The 18,091-nt window shown below is 41.5% G+C and overlaps 1 protein-coding gene, 1 pseudogene, 1 gene segment (V, D, J or C) and 1 further gene, besides 4 other annotated features; 2 read left to right on the forward strand and 2 right to left on the reverse strand.

Annotated features, from left to right (window-relative positions):
* TRA (T cell receptor alpha locus) overlaps positions 1-18,091 on the forward strand; it is a 930,229-nt gene that overhangs the window by 11,026 nt on the left and 901,112 nt on the right.
* On the reverse strand, positions 907-2,011 carry OR10G2 (olfactory receptor family 10 subfamily G member 2). The gene has a single exon (NM_001005466.2). The coding sequence runs from the start codon at positions 1,911-1,913 to the stop codon at positions 981-983; it is 933 nt and encodes a 310-aa protein (NP_001005466.2). The 5' UTR covers positions 1,914-2,011; the 3' UTR covers positions 907-980.
* Positions 10,044-10,086: a sequence feature (TRAV1-2 leader sequence).
* TRAV1-2 (T cell receptor alpha variable 1-2) lies at positions 10,044-10,657 on the forward strand. The segment is given in 2 exon segments: positions 10,044-10,086; positions 10,375-10,657. Coding segments are annotated over 2 exon segments (326 nt in total), but the record flags the coding sequence as incomplete, so codon positions are not given.
* Positions 10,375-10,382: a sequence feature (TRAV1-2 leader sequence).
* Positions 10,665-10,687: a recombination feature (spacer).
* Positions 10,688-10,696: a recombination feature (nonamer).
* ARL6IP1P1 (ARF like GTPase 6 interacting protein 1 pseudogene 1) lies at positions 14,788-17,476 on the reverse strand (annotated as a pseudogene).

Consider the following 18,091-nt stretch of genomic DNA (forward strand, 5'->3'; position numbering starts at 1 on the left):
AAGAAGCCATGGCAATACCAGGGAAGAGGAGTTAAGTCCTGCCTGGGAAAAACAGATGAGGAAGTATTTAATATGGATCTGAAGGAAGCATAAATTGTCACTTGGTCAATATGGAGAGGGAGGACTTATATTCCAGGCAGAGAAGAGAGCTTGAGCAAAAGAGTACAGGCAAGTATAGAGCATGCTCACGGAACGGCAATAAATCAGTGAGGGTGGGAGAGGGAAGCAGAGGAAATGGCTTAAGAGAACATGTATGTGAAGCCAAGATTGCATTGGATTTTGAATTCCAGATTAAGGAGCCTGGCCTTATTCATTCTACCTTCGCCGAAGAGTCCTACAGATTCTGTGTTTCAGAGGGTAATTTTGATTGTGGTCTAGATGAGGAAGAACTAGTCAAGAATTAAGAGAGACAGTCTACACTGAATCAGTTTGAGCTGGTTTCATAGTTTTGAGGAGACAGAATCTGATGTGTTAGCACATCACGAGGGCGAGGGACAGGAAGAAAACACAAATAATCCAGAATTTTCAAGTTCAAGTGCTTGGAAATATTCATGCCATGCACAAGCAAAGAAATGGAATTTAGAGGGGTCTAGGATTAGGAGCAAAGACAATGAAACAAGGGGTTATGGAGCCCCCTTTTTACTCTTTTCAAATTTTCTGGCATGATATACTTTCTAAGACATTGACACATTCTCATCTTATTCAACCTTTGGTAAGGCATTTTCTCATCTCACAAGATAGAGGTGATAGAAATAATGTATCCATTTATTTCTAAAAGATTATGTAAAACAACCTGAACCAGTTTAATTAGGGGAAAAGATTTTGGGTCGAAATAATTCAGAATTTTCTGCCAAAGAAAATGAAAATAAATTCACTTTAAATCCTTAGCAGTTTATTGGGCATTTGTCACATGCAGCAGTAGCTGAAGAGAGTGGCAGTGATAATGATGCAGATGTAGTTACTTATTTTCATTCAGTCCTTCAACCTGCTGTTATCCTCTTCAGGGCAGACTTCACTTCCTGGTTCCTCAGTGTATAGATGAGGGGGTTCAGTAATGGAGTGACAACAGTGTAAAACACAGCCGCTGCCCCATCCAGGGGGTCTTTGGAGCCAGCCCTAAGGTAGATGAAAATACAGGGGACATAGTAGACTGTGACCACGATTAGGTGGGAGCCACAGGTGGAGAAGGCCCGGCGCCTCCCATCAGTGGTGCGTATCTTCAGGATGGCATTTACTATGTTGGCATACGAGAGCAGAATTAACATGAAGCAACTGGCGGCCACTACCCCGACGTCCACAAAGGTCACAAGCTCATTGACAGTTGTGTCAGCACAGGCCAGTCTCAATACTGCGGGGATGTCACAGATAAAGTAATCCACCTGATTGGGCCCACAGTAGGGCAGGCGGAAGGTCAAGGTGGCCTGGATAGACCCATGCATGGAGCCGGCGACCCAAGCTCCAGCCACAAGGACTGTGCATAACCTCCCATTCATGAGCACTGGGTAGCGCAGGGGCTGACATATTGCCAGGTACCTGTCATAGGCCATCAAGGTGTAGAGGAAGCACTGGGTGCTGCCCAGGAAGTGAAAGAAATACAGTTGAGCCACACAGCCACCAAACGGGATAGCCTTGATGGAAGGAGTAAAATCCAAAATAAGCAGAGGAACGGTGACTGAGGAGAGCCACATGTCCAGGAATGAGAGCACTCCCAGAAGAATGTACATGGGGCGAGCACAGAGCTTCGGGTCAGCCCACATGGTGAGCAGAATGAGCAGGTTCCCCAGCTGAGTGAGGATGTAAATGATGAAGAAGACCAGGAAGAGGAGGCTTCTTAGATTTGGGGGGTGAGACAAACCCAGAAGAATGAAATCTGTCACCACGGCATCCAGCGATGTGTTTTTGGTCTTTCCCATGTCTTTTTGTAGTCTGCTAAGATGAATGGTGACGTTTGACAAGAGAAACACAGCACAATGATGTTGTAAGTGAATGCTTTTGTCGGATGATTGATGCCTAGGAATTATGAGATAAACAAGATAGAGTCAAATTGTTTTTTAAAAGAGGAGGTGGTGTCACCATTAGTTATTTAGGTTTACTTAAAAGGAGAAGTCCTCCAGAGGCTGGTTAGTTTCCTAGATGGGAGGAAACTCTTGTCCATTGAGAGATACTGAAAGCCAGGATTTGCCAGATGAAGGAAGAGGGACACATGAGAGTGATAGAGAAGTACCGAAAATTCCAACCAAAAAGTGAGTTCGCCAAGGAGGGGCTAAAGTTGATGCAGAGCAGTGTGGAACAAACACCCTATAATGACCACATCTACTTTTTCTTCACCTACTATCATTGTCCCCTTTTTCCTCAGCTAAAATCTCATCTCCTTAACATATCATGCAAAAATATTCCTCATCTGGCCCTTATTTATATCGCTATTGTACCACTTGTAATTCCTTCTTATTGTTGGGAGGCATGACACTCTTCAAGCTTCTCACAGTAGTGTGCTCTAACTTGGGACTTACGCACACACTATCTTTTCTGCTCCCTTCACATAGGTAGTGCCCACTTTTCCTTCAGGATTCAGTTTGAGTGTCTTCACCTTCAAGAAGGCTTTCCGGATCCCTGAGGACAATGCTTATACTTTTCTGAGCACGTACATTATGTTGCATTGTCTAATTTCTGTTTTTCTCTCTTAATAATCATCCCGTCTAGCATGCTAAAAGTGATAAATACCGTAATTATTTTCTGAATGACTGAGATAGATAGAATGGATGTTGCCAAATCCCCCTGACTGAATACATTGTTTCTCTTGATCTTTTTTGTCTGACCCCTGTGCTCACATGGCTGGGACTTTTAGGTCAAGGGACCACCTCATTCACCATGTAATATGGGTATAATTTCATTATAAAAAACTCCAAGAAACATTTATGCCTGTTTTTGCTCCAGGATATCATTTAGATTTATTTGTTGATTTATATGGTTCATTGGTTTGGGATTGGGTTTTTTTTTTGGTATGAGGTCACAGAGGAATTTTTATTGTTTGTTATAAAATCATTGATTAATGCAGGACTTGATCTTTAGTGTGCTTGTGTGTAATATCTATGTATTGCAGTCTATCAAACAGCAACTCTCTCTAAAGACATTTACAGATTTTCAAGTATCTGAACAAGATGATAAAATAGAGGGATGGAATGTGTTTGTTTCACTCTTTTTGTTAAATAGGTTGCTTGATAAAGACTTTTCGCTCTATATATGGTTTGAGATGCATTTATCTTTCATTTAACTACAAAATATCTTTGTAATGCAAATGACTACTTTCATAAAGCAATTAAAATGACAATAGATTATTATAAATAACATGTGAATATTAATAAGTTTAATCTCTATCGGAAATTCTCCAAAGAGATTTTATCTTAAGTATTCTGTGAAATAACTTAATTCATATGTTAACATTCAAGAGTTATTAGTAGTAATAATAATAATACTGAATATATCTGGCTCTTCGAAGTCTGGAAAATGTTAAACTTGTCCTTTGCCCACCAAGAACGAAGAAATATCAGATTTTTATTGCCTGAGTTTCAGGAGGACACTTTGATTTATTTGAAAATGGATGGGAAAACTAAATCTTATTTTTGTGGTTAGAATATAGAGAAAAGAGGCTGGGCGTGGTGGCTCACGTCTGTAATCCCAGCACTTTGGGAGGCCGAGGCAGGCAGATCATGAGGTCAAGAGATGGAGACCACCCTGACCAACATGGTGAAACCCTGTCTCTACTAAAAATACAAAAAAATTAGCTGGGTGTGGTGTCGGGCGCCTGTAGTCCCAGCTACTCGGGAGGCTGAGGCAGGAGAATCTCTTGAACCCGGGAGGCGGAAGTTGCAGTGAGTGGAGATCGCACCACTGCACTCCAGCCTGGTGACAGAGAGAGACTCTGTCTCAAAAAGAAAAAAAAAAAATGAATATAGAGCAAAGATAGAAAGAGTTGAGATTAAAATGGTGCATAAAATACTAATTATGGCCAGGCGCGGTGGCTCATGCCTGTAATCCCAGCACTTTGGGAGGCCAAGGTGGGTGGATCACGAGGTCAGGAGATTGAGACCATCCTGGCTAACACGGTGAAACCCCGTCTCTACTAAAAATACAAAAATTAGCTGGGTGTGGTGGTGGGCGCCTGTAGTCCCAGCTACTCGGGATGCTGAGGCAGGAGAATGGCGTGAACCCGGGAGGCGGAGGTTGCAGTGAGCCAAGATTGCGCCACTGCACTCCAGCCTGGGTCACAGAGCGAGACTCCATCTCTTAAAAAAATATATATACATATACATATATATATATATATATACTTATTATGAGCTAAAAGTAATTTTCTTTTCTTTCTTTTTTTTTGTGTGATTGAGTCTTGCTCTGTTGCCCAGGCTGGAGTACAGTGGCCTGATCTCGGCTCACTGCAACCTCTGCCTCCCAGATTCAAGTGATTCTCCTGCCTCAGCCTCCCAAGTAGCTGCGACTACAGGTGCGCGCCACCACGCCCAGCTAATTTTTGTATTTTTGGTAGAGAGGGAGTTTCACCATATTGGCCAGGCTGGTCTTGAACTCCTGACCTCATGATCCACCCACCTTGGCCTCCCAAAGTGCTGGGATTATAGGCGTGAGCCACCGCGCCCAGCTGAGCTAAAGTAATTTTCTTTGCCAATACAGGAATATAAACTAGTAGGCTTCTACTTAGGCAAATAATATATTCATGAAATGTTTTATGAAAATCCATTTTTATATTTAAAATCAGATAGAACTGTACCACTGGGGCAATTATTTGAAGGACTTCCATGATGCATACTTTCGTATAGTGAAAAGTTTATCCCTAATTTATCTACTTTGCCGGTCTGATTTTCCCCCTTTTGTTGTGCCTAAGTCTGGTTTCATTTCTCCCAGGCTCCCTGTTGAAAGAAAGCTCTTTTTACCCCTCTAGGTTCTGGGTTCCCTGCCTGGGAGGAGGCAGGAAACTGAGATGGGTTATAGCTGGTCGGTTTGAGGACAGGATACCTTTCCAGGCAGACTTGGTAAAGAACAGTGGTTTTAGCTTGGTGTTTGGTATTCAGAGGCTGCAGAGGAAGATAGCTTAGACTTCCAGAAGGTAGATTTTTGGAGAAACAAAGAGTGTGTTTACAGAAGGATTGGCTTTCTTGGCAAGAGAGGTGAACAGTCTGGGACCACCTTAGAGGAGACAAAAGAAAGGCCGGGCATGGTGGCTCATGCCTGTAATCCCAGCACTTTGGGAGGATGAGGCTGGAGAATCGCTTGGGCCCAGAAGTTTGAGACCAGCCTAGGCAACATAGTGGGACCCTGTCTGTAAAAAAAATTTTAAAAATTAGCCAGGTATAATGGTGGGCACCTGTAGTCCTAATTTCTCAGGAGGCTGAGACAGGAGGATCACTGGAGCCTGGAAGGTCAAGGCTGCAGTGAGCCATGATGGTGCCACTGTACTCCTTCCTGGGTGACAGGTTGAGACCTTGTCTAAAAAAAAAAAAAAAAAAAAGACAAATGTAGAGGCCGTATTTGTGTATCCTCTTTTCCCCCTCCCTTATCTTCCAGATTTGTGTCATTTTATTTTAGGTCTGTTCCTCTTTTTTAGCTTTTGAAACTTATGATATTTAAGATAAGGAAAGTTAAATACAATTTTAGTATATCTACCCTAGCTAATTAGATAACCAAAATATTCTAAAATTCCCCAAGTTTTAGACTGTATTGGATATTCTCCAATTAGATAGGTCAGAATTTAAATAATCAAAACACATGAAAATAACAAAAAGTTAAAGTTCAATATAAAAAGCATCTGAAAATAAGAGCCCAGTGACATCAGAGAATAAACAGCATATTTTTACAAAGCAATTATCCTGGAAACTCTAAGAAGAGACTTTGGGAATGGGGTGAAAGAGTAGCACTGAGAAGGTAAGGACAGGGAGGGTCAAGAACACCTTCAAGGGACCTCTATGGCATTATGGGATCACAGGATAAGCTGCTTTCTATGCCCCTACTCTGCCCCAAATCAAGCTAGTTTGATATGTGAACACATTTCTTGCAGTGTATTTAGAGAGGTGCCGAGGAGGGCAAGCCTCTATCCAGCAATTTGAACCTAGATTTCTACAGTGACCTTTGGGATCTGGACTACTATGCAACGGTTATGAAATCTTGAAGATGAGGAGTGAAGGCTGGTCCAGCATTGCGTTGGACACATTATGATCAAAGGACTCCTGTTTACCCTTGTGACAAAACTCAACCCAATCTGCTTCCAAAAAGAAGTTTCACCTTCTGTCATCCTTTATTCAGAGTTAGACATCCTGGTAGAGCTAGGGCAGAGTAGAGGAAATGGATAGAATTTGAGGTGGCCTAGACATATTTTATCGAATTCACAAGAGTACATTCTTTCCTATTACCGGGGGTTAAAAAAAACGAACTTGCTTTAGAAAAAGTACTTAGTGCCCTCTTCATTGGAGAAGGGGAAGGTTATGAATCCAGCCTTTCTTTGTGTTTGCACAATCACTGAAGAATATTCTTCAAGACCCCTATGACTTTATCACTGCCCAACTCTGCCCTTTATCACTGCCCTAATAAAAAGAGAATATGAAAAGAAAATAGTGTTGTAATGCTTTTTTTTGAGTCATTTTCTCAACACAAAAAGAGTTTCCCCAAGTTTGAAAAGAAGGAACTTAATTCTAGCCCGTTTGGGAAAGAGTTGAGGAAACGCATGGAGAAAAGAGACGGATTAAATTAACACTCGGACAAAATAACAGAAAGTCTTAAAGTTCCAAAATTAGTCTGCAGCCTTATTTTGAACATAGCTGGTGTCAGGCCTGCTTTTTCCATCCTTTTAGACTCACTTGTATAGAGCTGCACAATTGTGGAGGAGGCTGGCTGCCCTTGAGTGCAACGGTCCAGCGGATGGAGAGATGGTCTTCAGAGATTCAGTCTAGCCTACTATAAAGGGCTCCCACATCTGTTTCGGAAAGCCTTTATAATTTTTTTTTAAGGAGTTTGGCCCAGCAAATAAGTGTTCAGAATCTTTGAGAACGCCTGTCTTTGGGGTTCTTGGACAAGTGTGACTTCTGTATATATTCAGTCATATTTTATATCAGTTTCCATCAGCTGTTGCTTTTTTGGATTAAAAGAAAAAAAGACACTGCCAAGAGATTTAAAGAAAAATTCTAACCTCGAGGGAAACCCTACTACTCTGAAGTATGTCCCTAATGAGATCTTTCCTCACCAAATCCTCATTATTTTGTTTTGAGAGAGAGAGCTGGAAATGTTTCCAGTAGGATCCCTGGATAAGGAACTGTGGGGAATAACCTTGTTTGCATGTTATTTGAATGACCTCTAATTTCTTAGAGGTGTTATGAAGTCTCAACTGATCCCCTTCCCTCCCCAAATACTCATCAGGATTCCACCATCATCTTCAGGTTTCTGTTCAGGCATCACCTAATCAGAGAGGTTTCTGTTGACTCTCTCCTTTCCCTTCCCTATTTTATTTTTCTCTCGGCACTTGCCACCATTTGACATACTGTATTTACTTGTTTGTTTACTGCTTGTCTCCCTTCACTAGAATGTGGGTTTTGCTTAGCTTTGAATCCCCAGCACTACTAGCATAGTGCCTGGCATGTAATAATTTCTCAATATGTACTTCTGAATAAATTAATAGTTGAAACTGCCACACATGTTAAATGCTGTGGGCAGAAAAAAAAAGCTGTGGTTTCAAATATAAATCTAATGTTTAAAATTACCTGGAGTAGATCTGACATCAAATTGATCCTCGAGTGACCTGCATATACCAGGGCAAGTAGCTTCGGAAATCTATTTATTCATTTTTTCATATTTAATGTTGGGCAGGGCACAGTGGCTCATGCCTGTAATCCCAACAGTTTGGGAGGCTGAGGCAGGAGGATCGCTTGCAGCCTGGAGTTCAAGAGCAGCCTGTACAATATAGCGAGACCTCATCTCAACAATAAAATACAAAAAATTAGCTGGGTGCCTGTAGTCCTAGCTACATGAGAGGCAGAGGCAGAAGGAGCGCTTGAGCCCAGAAGGTTGAGCCTGCAGTGAACCATGATCCCGCCACTGCACTCCAGCATGGGCGACTGAGAGAGACCCTCTCTCAAAAAAAAAAAAAAAAAAATTCATGTTAATCTAAATAACAGTGGGAAATTGACTACAAATGAAGATATGAAGCCTGGAGTGTGATAAAAGCTTCAAGAGTTTCAAGAACTTCCCCTGTAAGATGATGGAGCTCGACAAAGACTGGATGATTTCTAAGTTTCTTTTAATTCTAAAGTAAGAAAATGTTAGGCGTGTGTGTGTGTGTGTGTGTGTGTGTGTGTGTGTGTGTGTGAAGTTGCACTGCTACCTGTTGCCACAAGATGACAGTATCATCTTTATTGAAACAAAGTACAGTTGCTATATGGAGTAAATAGAAATAAATCCAGAGAGTTCATGAGGGATATAAATTACTTTGGTAAAGATATTATATGTGAGGCATTAATTAGTTTGGGAAAACTATGTATCAAAAAGAGTTAACTTCCTTTTGTAACACATGGGAAATAGTTTGAAATATAGTTTTCTTCCTCCCTCCGTCTTTTCCTTCCTGTTTTACACCTAGTCTTCCTCCTTCCTTTTTTATTCTTTCTTTTTCTTTCTTCCACATTCTCAGTTTATTATGTAACAAATTTCAAGTCAAAGGAAACAGAGATATATAAGAAAAAGTTAACATTTTCACCATTTCTTTTAATTTCACTCATCTGAAGAAACTAATTTTTTTTTTTTTTTGAGGGAGTTTTGCTCTTGTCACCCAGGCTGGAGTGCAATGGTGTGATGTCAGCTCACTGCAATCTCCACCTCCCAGGTTCAAGTGATTCTCCTGCCTCAGACTCCCGAGGAGCTGGGATTACAGGCATGCGCCACCATGCCCGGCTAATTTTGTATTCTTAATAGAGATGGGGTTTCACCGTGTTGGTCAGGCTGGCCTCAAACGCCTGACCTTAGGTGATCCACCTGCCTCAGCTTCCCAAAATGTTGGGATTACAGGCGTAAGCCACTGTGCCCGGCAGTAACTAATGTTAATAGCTTTTTTCTCATTTCTTCCTGTATATTCGTACATGTACATACACCTACAGACATACAAATTATGTTTCTTTTGAACTTTAAATTAATATCTGATCATCTGTTGGGAGACAAATTTAGATGGTTGAAAACTCTCTGTTTCTTCCTTATTGTCACAAACACCACCACCACCACTACCACCAACACACACACACACACACACACACACACACACACACACACACACCCCACCTCTAATTGCAACCTTGTTTCCATTTCTTCCTGTCTTGAGAAGAGAAACACTTATGGGGAAATTGAATACTTTGTCTTTTTTTTTTTTTTTTTTTTTTTTTTTGAGACGGAGTCTCACTTTGTCGCCCAGGCTGGAGTGCAGTGGCGCGATCTCTGCTCACTGCAAACTCCGCCTCCCGGGTTCCCGCCATTCTCCTGCCTCAGCCTCTCGAGTAGCTGGGACTACAGGCGCCCGCCACAGCGCCCAGCTAATTTTTTTGTATTTTTTGGTAGAGACGGGGTTTCACCGTGTTAGCCAGGATGGTCTCGATCTCCTGACCTCGTGATCCGCCCACCTCGGCCTCCCAAAGCGCTGGGATTAAAGGCGTGAGCCACCGCGCCCGGCCTACTTTGTCTTATGTTATTCCCATTTGCCGTCTCTGTTCCTTATACATTATGCTTTTTCAACTTTACCAGAATCACTTGGATTAAAACCCGTGGATTTCTCAGTAGGAAATGTTCATGTGAAGACACTTCTGTAGTAACAGAACCTACAGCTGCTCCTGTAGAAGGAAGTTGAAAGTCATCCCTTCAAGAAAGGGGCTCCTCCCCTTGTAATTCTACTGGGTTTTGCATCCAGACTGAGTTTCCTTCCCTCACCCACATGAAGTGTCTACCTTCTGCAGACTCCAATGGCTCAGGAACTGGGAATGCAGTGCCAGGCTCGTGGTATCCTGCAGCAGATGTGGGGAGTTTTCCTTCTTTATGTTTCCATGAAGATGGGAGGTAAGTCTCAATCTAATAGCAAATGCTGCTGGGAGTTTTCAAAACGATTTTCTTTCAGCTAAATGATTGCCATTTCTGACACTCGTAACAAAAGTGTTTCTTAATAGATATTTTCTTTATGCGGTGCTAATTGTTATTGGATATCAAATAATAACGACTTTGCTGCCATTTATTTCTAAGAATCTCTCCTTAATGGCAATTCTTTTGTGACCACATGGAGACATCGTTTTTAATGATAATGGGTTTCCAGGAGCGCTGCCCTAGTAACAGTCATGTATCTTGTCTTAGGCACTACAGGACAAAACATTGACCAGCCCACTGAGATGACAGCTACGGAAGGTGCCATTGTCCAGATCAACTGCACGTACCAGACATCTGGGTTCAACGGGCTGTTCTGGTACCAGCAACATGCTGGCGAAGCACCTACATTTCTGTCTTACAATGTTCTGGATGGTTTGGAGGAGAAAGGTCGTTTTTCTTCATTCCTTAGTCGGTCTAAAGGGTACAGTTACCTCCTTTTGAAGGAGCTCCAGATGAAAGACTCTGCCTCTTACCTCTGTGCTGTGAGAGACACGGTGACTATGAGGCCTCTTTAGCTGCACCAAAATTCAAAAGGCAACCACAGCAGCGAGAAGCTGTATTTCCTGAGTGTATGCCTGCTGTGAGTTAAGACTGGGGACTTTGGAACCAGACTGCCTGGATTTGAGTTTGCTACTCTCTAGTTGGGTGGTCTTAAGTCAGTCACTATTTTTTTTTCTTTTGGTTTATTTCCTTATCCAGAAAGTGAGAATAATGAGTATCTACTTCACAAGCCTGTTGTGAGTTATGACTCTCTGTATCATCTATATCTCTATCTATAGCTATATCTAGTGTTACTCAGAGAAGTAGTGGCACACAGTAAACTTTATTTAAGTTTAGTTATTTCAATTCTAGTCTTGAATTTTCACTAAGTATTACGTGGTAGGACCTCTGAGACTGGAACTCAGTATTTCTCTACCCTTGGTTTGTGGAAGGTGAAATCCTGACCACTATTTGTATCTTGTGGATCTAAAGCTCCACCTAATGATGGAGTTTGTCGTTCAGGTGGATTGTTGCTTTGGAAGGATCACTGTGGTGATACTCATTTTCTTTGGGGGGACTCCGAACTTTGGAAATCCAAATGCAAATGCTTCAGAGTGAGATGTTAAGTAGCCTGATTAATTACGAAAGGCTATCTTCATTATGTGCATCCTCTATAAATAAATGTAATCTTAACATATTTTGGAGGTTTATAACTCAGACTAGAAGTGAAGTTTAGGGGCTTCAGACTTGGGGAGCATGAACATAATCAGGGGAGTCTATAGAAGATGGGAAAAAGAATGAACATAAACAATTTGGTGGCAAATCTGGGTGAGGCAGGAGAGCCAGTAGGAGATTCCTATGACAAGATGCAGTCAGTAGGCATTAAGCACAATAAAAATTTACAGTAAATGTTAAGATTTTCATTTCCTGCTTTATAATTCCCTTATGTTCTCTTCAAATCTTTTAATGAAGTCTGTTAAATGCTACAACTTGCTGTCAGCTAGGTTTAGAGAGTACACGATTGCTGTGTGGCTACCTCCACATGAGATAAAGCCGATCAGAGTGCAGAAGCTCAGATTGCAGGTTATTGGGACATCAAAAGTGAGGGCTGCTCCAAGTTAACATAGTTATATGGCCAGTCATATGTTACATATATATATATTTTTTGAGTCAAAGATTAAGCAAAATTCTCTTTGGGTGAGATAGGAGTGCTTTTTCATTCTAATTTATAAAATGAACATTTGAGGTGGAATTTGAACAGACATAGTCACACTGGAAAGTAATCTTGACAACATGAATCCAGGCCACTGAAATGTTCATGTTCCTTTTGTCTAATAATTCATTTTTTTGAGCTCTCATTTAAATAAATGCAGGCTAGAAATGAGGCTTTGTTTTTTTCCAGTTTACAAGACAACCAAAGAAGCCATAGAAATGATATTTAAGGGCTTTGGACTTGGTGAGTATGAATTGTTCATATAGTTATCAATTAGGGAAAACAATACTATGCAAATGATATGGTGAATGCTATGATCAATGGAATATTTTAAAGTTGTATTAGTTTCTATTGCTGCATAACAAATTACCACAATACCCATATATTAGCTTGTAGTTCTGTAGGTCATAAGTCCAAGCAAGTTCAGCTGAGTTCCATGCTTAGGGCATAACCATAGTAAAGTCGAGGCATTGGCTGGGTGAGTACTCAAGTGCTCACACAGAGTTCAGAGTCCTCTTCCAAGTTAATTCTTTAAATTTTTTTCTATTTTATATATATATATATATATATATATTTTTAGACGGTGTCTCGCTCTGTCACACAGGCTGGAGTGCAGTGGCGTGATCTCGGTTCACTGCAAGCTCTGCCTCCCTGGTTCATGCCATTCTTCTGCCTCAGCCTCCCGAGTAGCTGGGAATACAGGTACCCGCCACCATGCTTGGCTAATTTTTTGTATTTTTAGTAGAGACAGGGTTTCACCATGTTAGCCAGGAGGGTCTTGATTTCCCTGACCTTGGGATCTGCTTGCCTTGGCCTCCCAAAGTGCTGAGATTACAGGTGTGAGCCACCGTGCCCGGCCTATTTTTTATATATTTTTTAAAATTTAGAGACAAGGTGTTTCTCTGTTGCCTGGGGTAGAGGGCAGTGGCATGATCATAGGTCACTGTGGGATCAAATTCCTGGGCTCAGGAAATTCTCTCACCTCAGCCTCCCAAGTAGCTAGGGCTATAGGCACATACTACCATACCTGGCTAATTAATATATATATTTTTGTAGAGACAGGGTCCTGCTCTGTTGCCTAGGCTGGTTTTGAACTCTTGAGCTCAAGCAGTCCTCTGGACTCAGCCTCCTGAGTTGTGATTACAGGTGCTTTTTTTTTTTCTTTTTTTTTTTTCGGAGATGGAGTCTTGCTCTGTTGCTGAGGCTGGAGTGCAGTGGTAGGATTTCAGCTCACTGTAACCTCTGCCTCCTGGGTTCAAGCGATTCTTCTGCCTCGGCCTCCCAAGTAGCTGGGATTACAGGTACCTGCCACCATGCCTGGCTAATTTTCCTATTTTTAGTAGAGACAAAGTTTCATCTTGTTGGCCAGGCTGGTCTCGAACTCCTGACCTCAAGTGATCCGCTCGCCTCGGCCTCCCAAAGTGCTGGGATTACTAGTGTGAGCCACCATGCCCGGCCAGTTCTTATTATTGTCAGAATTCTAGTCCATGTAGATGTGGGACTAAAGTTCCCATATTCTTAATGTTTGTGGGCTGGGGGCATTTCTGAGCTCCTTAAGGCAACCTGCACTCTTTCTCATGTGAGTCCCACCATCTTCAAACGAGCAATAGCATGTGAAGTTCATCTCATGCTTGGAATCTTTCTGGCTTAATCTTCCAAAGTTCATGTGTTTTTAAGGTCTCATGTCAACCGGTACATAGATATCTCCCTTTTGAAAAGTCAACTGTGGGCCTGGTGTGGTGGCTCACACCTGTAATCCCAGCACTTTGAGAGGCCGAGGCGGGTGGATCACCTGAGGTCAGGAGTTTGAGACCAGCCTGACCAACGTGAAACCCTGTCTTTCTACTAAAAATACAAAAATTAGCTGGGCGTGGTGGTGGGCGCCTGTAATCCCAACTACTTGGGAGGCTGAGGCAGGAGAATTGCTTGAACCCGGAAGGCGGAGGTTTCAGTGAGCCGAGATCTTGCCATTGCAGTCCAGTCTGGGCAACAGAACGAGACTCCATCTCAAAAAAAAAAAAAAAAAAAAAAGTCAACTGTTTGTTCAGCGCGGTGCCTCACGCCTGTAATCCTAACTCTTTGGGATGCCGAGTTGGGCGGATCACTTGAGGTCAGGATCAAAACCAGCCTGGCCAACATGGTGAAACCCCATCTCTACTAAAAATACAAAAAAGTTAGCTGAGCATGGTGGTGGGCACCTGTAATCCCAGCTACTAGGGAGGCTGAGGCAGGAGAATTGCTTGAACCCAGGAGGCTGAGGTTGCAGTGAGCCGAGATTGCACCACTGCACTCCAGTCTGGGGGACAGAGGTGATTCTGTCTCAAAAAATAAAATAAAATAAAATAAAACAAAACAAAACAAACAAAAAGTCAACTGTGCCATAGAACCCAACACAATCACCAGAGTAATATTGCATAACATTCAAGATTCTGAGGATTAGGGCAGGGAATCTTGGGTCTATTCACTGAAATTTTACCTACCACATAGCAAATAAAGGATGTCCATTAAGACTGCATAAAAATGGTGAACTGCTTATGATATAACAATGAATCAAGAAAACCAGTGTGCATAATTGAATATGCGGAATAATCACAGCTGTGTAAAAACTTTTGGGCATAGAAAAACAGGGAAAGGAATTACAATCTTCCCTCTTTACTGCATTTCCCTTACTCAAAGTCTTAGTATGGGTAGATTTTCTTCTCTCTCTCTCCCTCTAGTCTCTTGGCTAGGATTGGAGGGTGCACTTCCAAGATGGCTTGCTCACATAGCTGTTGTTGGCAAAAGTCCCCAGATTCTTATCACATGGCTGTAGTGTGTTGACAGAGAGAGAGACAGAGAGAGAGAGAGAGAGAGAGAGAGAGAGAGAGCCATCTTTTATTGTCCAGTCTCAGAAGTGTTATACCATCACTTCTGCTGTTTTTTTTCCCCCAGCTTCTAACATTTTTCTCCTTTTACATATAACAAAGTAGAAGAAATAATATAGGATTCAAACTGCAAAAGTAGTTAATCAGTAGAATGTATACACACACAAAATATCCCCATAAGAAGACAGGCTTATTTACAATGAAGAAACACATGTACATTTAAGATAGTTCTCATATAAAACATTTAAAAAATAAAACATATCCCACAATGGGCACCACTGTTTACAGCAATATTAAAGGGGAGAAAACAACACTCATTTAATGGTGAGCATTAAATGTAAAGGTACAGCATCAGTGGAATAAATTCACAAAACTATATTACAGCTTGTTAATCCATTTAAGAATTGTTCCAAATATATCATATATTTGGCCCTCAGAGGTTCATTCCTACAGATTTCAACTACTGTAAATTTCTAGCTACTGAGAGGTAGAAAATGGTTATTATCATGATTATAATGATTATTAGAAACACACACACACACACACACACACACACACACACAAACTCACCAAGGAGTTACAAAATCTATGGAGACCAGAGGCCAACTATCATCACCTCATGTCTGCTCTCACCAACAGCCTTGCATTTTTCAGAGAACTATCTAAAAAAATAGTCAGACACCAGTGTGATCACTATCTCCTATGCCAAACCTATTGGGAATGAAACAAGCAGTATTACCATAAATGAGAACATTGAGGCTTACCTTTCAAGGCTTATTCTGGTCTCAGAAATTAATTAGATACGATTATTTTCTATTGAAATGAATTTTAGCTAACATAAAAGACTAGTCCTTTACTAGCTGGTCTTAGGGTAAAGGTCGTACACATGAGTCTTAACCTACTCTCTGTCATAGCTAAAGTCAGCTGAAAATCCAAAATTAAAAGTATGCCAAAAATCCTAAGTACAATCTTTTGGAAGTCTGCTGTGAAAAAGCCTTTAAGGATGTACTAACTTGAAGTCTAAGTGCAAGGTCATAAGAGCTCTAACGCTGTTAGATCTTCCTCGTTTGGGAGAAAGGATCAATGTTCCCTACAAAACGCTAAGTTTTGCATAAAGGTGAAACCTACATATACTAGGGTATAGAATTAATTTAATTTTGTTCCATCAGGATCCTTTTTCCATGGTAAAAAAGCAGAATGAGGAATGAAGGAATGAATCTTTTTTTTTTTTTTTTTTTTGAGACGGAGTCTCGCTCTGTCGCCCAGGCTGGAGTGCAGTGGCGCGATCAGGGCTCACTGTAAGCTCCGCCTCCCGGGTTCACGCCATTCTCCTGCCTCAGCCTCCCGAGTAGCTGGGACTACAGGTGCCCGCCACCACGTCCAGCTAATTTTTTTTGTATTTTTAGTAGAGACGGGGTTTCACAGTGTTAGCCAGGATGGTCTCGATCTCCTAACCTGTGATCCGCCCGCCTCGGCCTCCCAAAGTGCTGGGATTACAGCCATGAACCACTGCGCCCGGCCGAGGAATAAATCTTAATTGGCCTCTTCATCAGAAGAGGTAAACTTGGTCTCTGTATTCATGAAGCTAGACAGTTTTTTAAGCAGGCAGTGGAAGCAGACAGTAGAACAAGATTCCTGTAGCCACAGACCACTACCTGGTATCAAACTAAAGCAAGGATCAACTTAAACAATTATCCAAAGTCATTTTAACTGTACTAAAGGGTAAAGTTCACCACTGTATTATTTTAAAGGAAGTTGTTTAATGTAAGAATTCCATTAACCCTGGGTGAGAAAAATCAAAACAAGTCATACTCTCTAATGAGTTATCCATGTAAGACCACCAATAAAAATGCTTTTAACTGTATTTGACTCGAAGACACTTACTTGGTAAGTGTGAATTTCTTTCTTTTTTTTTTCTTTTATCCCATTGGATTTAGACTATTGAATAATTAAGGGTAGAGTGAGGGAGAACAAAGAGCTACTTCTTTAACATTTTAGTATCTGGATAGTATAGCAGAAACTGTTCCTAGGGACAATGTATATGCCATTAATCACATTGAATAAAGTGGATGAATTATTCATTTTTCTTTTCTTTTTGTTCGAGAAGCTTGTTTATCTCCCTTTGGCCTTTCCAGTGTGGTTTGAAATGATTCCGTGTTGGTTTAGTTGAGGAAGCAACAGTAAGAAAGTCACTGTCAGGTAGCTGAGAAGCAGGTTGTGGACTTGCTGTCCCATCCAAACAACTGCAGCGAGATAAATGATCATGGCCATGAAACACATTTCAGGCTTTTCTTCCTTCAGTGCGAAGATTTGTTTCCACCAGTCCATAGCTCTGCATTGAGTTTTTAGTAGATTGCTGCAAATTTCATGGAATTTTTGCTGTTGATTGCTGGTGCATTTATTGGAGCCAAAAATGTTAGGTGCTAGAATGGGAACAAGGTAGTCAGCCAAGCACCAAAACACAACAAAAGAGGAAACAGCAGACAGAACAGATGGATCTAGATAGTAGATAATTGAAGCACCAAAGAAACCAAGTCCATGATGGCAGGTGAAAACCAAGCTCTTTCCCATAATAAGACTTTATCCACCATCAACATCACTTTTCCCCATTCTTGCAGCTATTGTTCTAAACTTGCAGTCTCTGCAGCCAGCAAATTGGTGCCGTGGTTACCTCCCTCTGCCATCATCCCTGAAGTGCTGTCTCAGCAAGCACAAACCACCCTCCAACTCAGCCTTCCTCCTGAGATCCACAGGGCGATTCTGGCCACTTCTGCTGTATTCTGTTGGTCACACAGACCCACCCTTATACAGTGTAGAAGGCGATTGCACAGTGGTGTGAATACCAGAGATGATGGAGATCATTGAGGTCATCTTGTTGACTGGCTTCCATTTACCAACTCCTGTCAGCCATTGGTTGAAGGATATTAATTTTATTAATTACCAGGGATATTAATTTTCTAGTATTCAGGGTTTACTATGTACATGGGCAAAGAAAGCGCCAGTTGCCAGAAAGATCCCCTCAGGCACAGAGGTGCTGACAGTTGAAAGTTGGGCCGTCCATGGAAAATGTAAACGGGTTATGCAGAGGAGGGTATTGATAGTGTCAGTCAACCCTTCCACTGCTTTGATACCCTCTTACCCAACATTATATTTGCTTTGTACTGTCATTGATTCCTCAAGGTGGTGGCTGATTACAGTTTCTTAAAAAAAAAAAAAAAAAAGACCTAAAACAGAGGATTTAGCCAGATAAGTAGAGTTGTTGCTGCAGTTGGTCCCAAGACCATCACTGTTATCTATTGTCTCCCTCTTCTATCACTCATTCTAGGCTCCCTCATTCAGCATTCCTGCTGGTCTCAGTTTCTTGCTC

This window comes from Homo sapiens, chromosome 14 (assembly GCF_000001405.40).
Source record: "Homo sapiens chromosome 14, GRCh38.p14 Primary Assembly".
In the NCBI taxonomy this organism is placed as follows: Eukaryota; Metazoa; Chordata; class Mammalia; order Primates; family Hominidae; genus Homo; species Homo sapiens.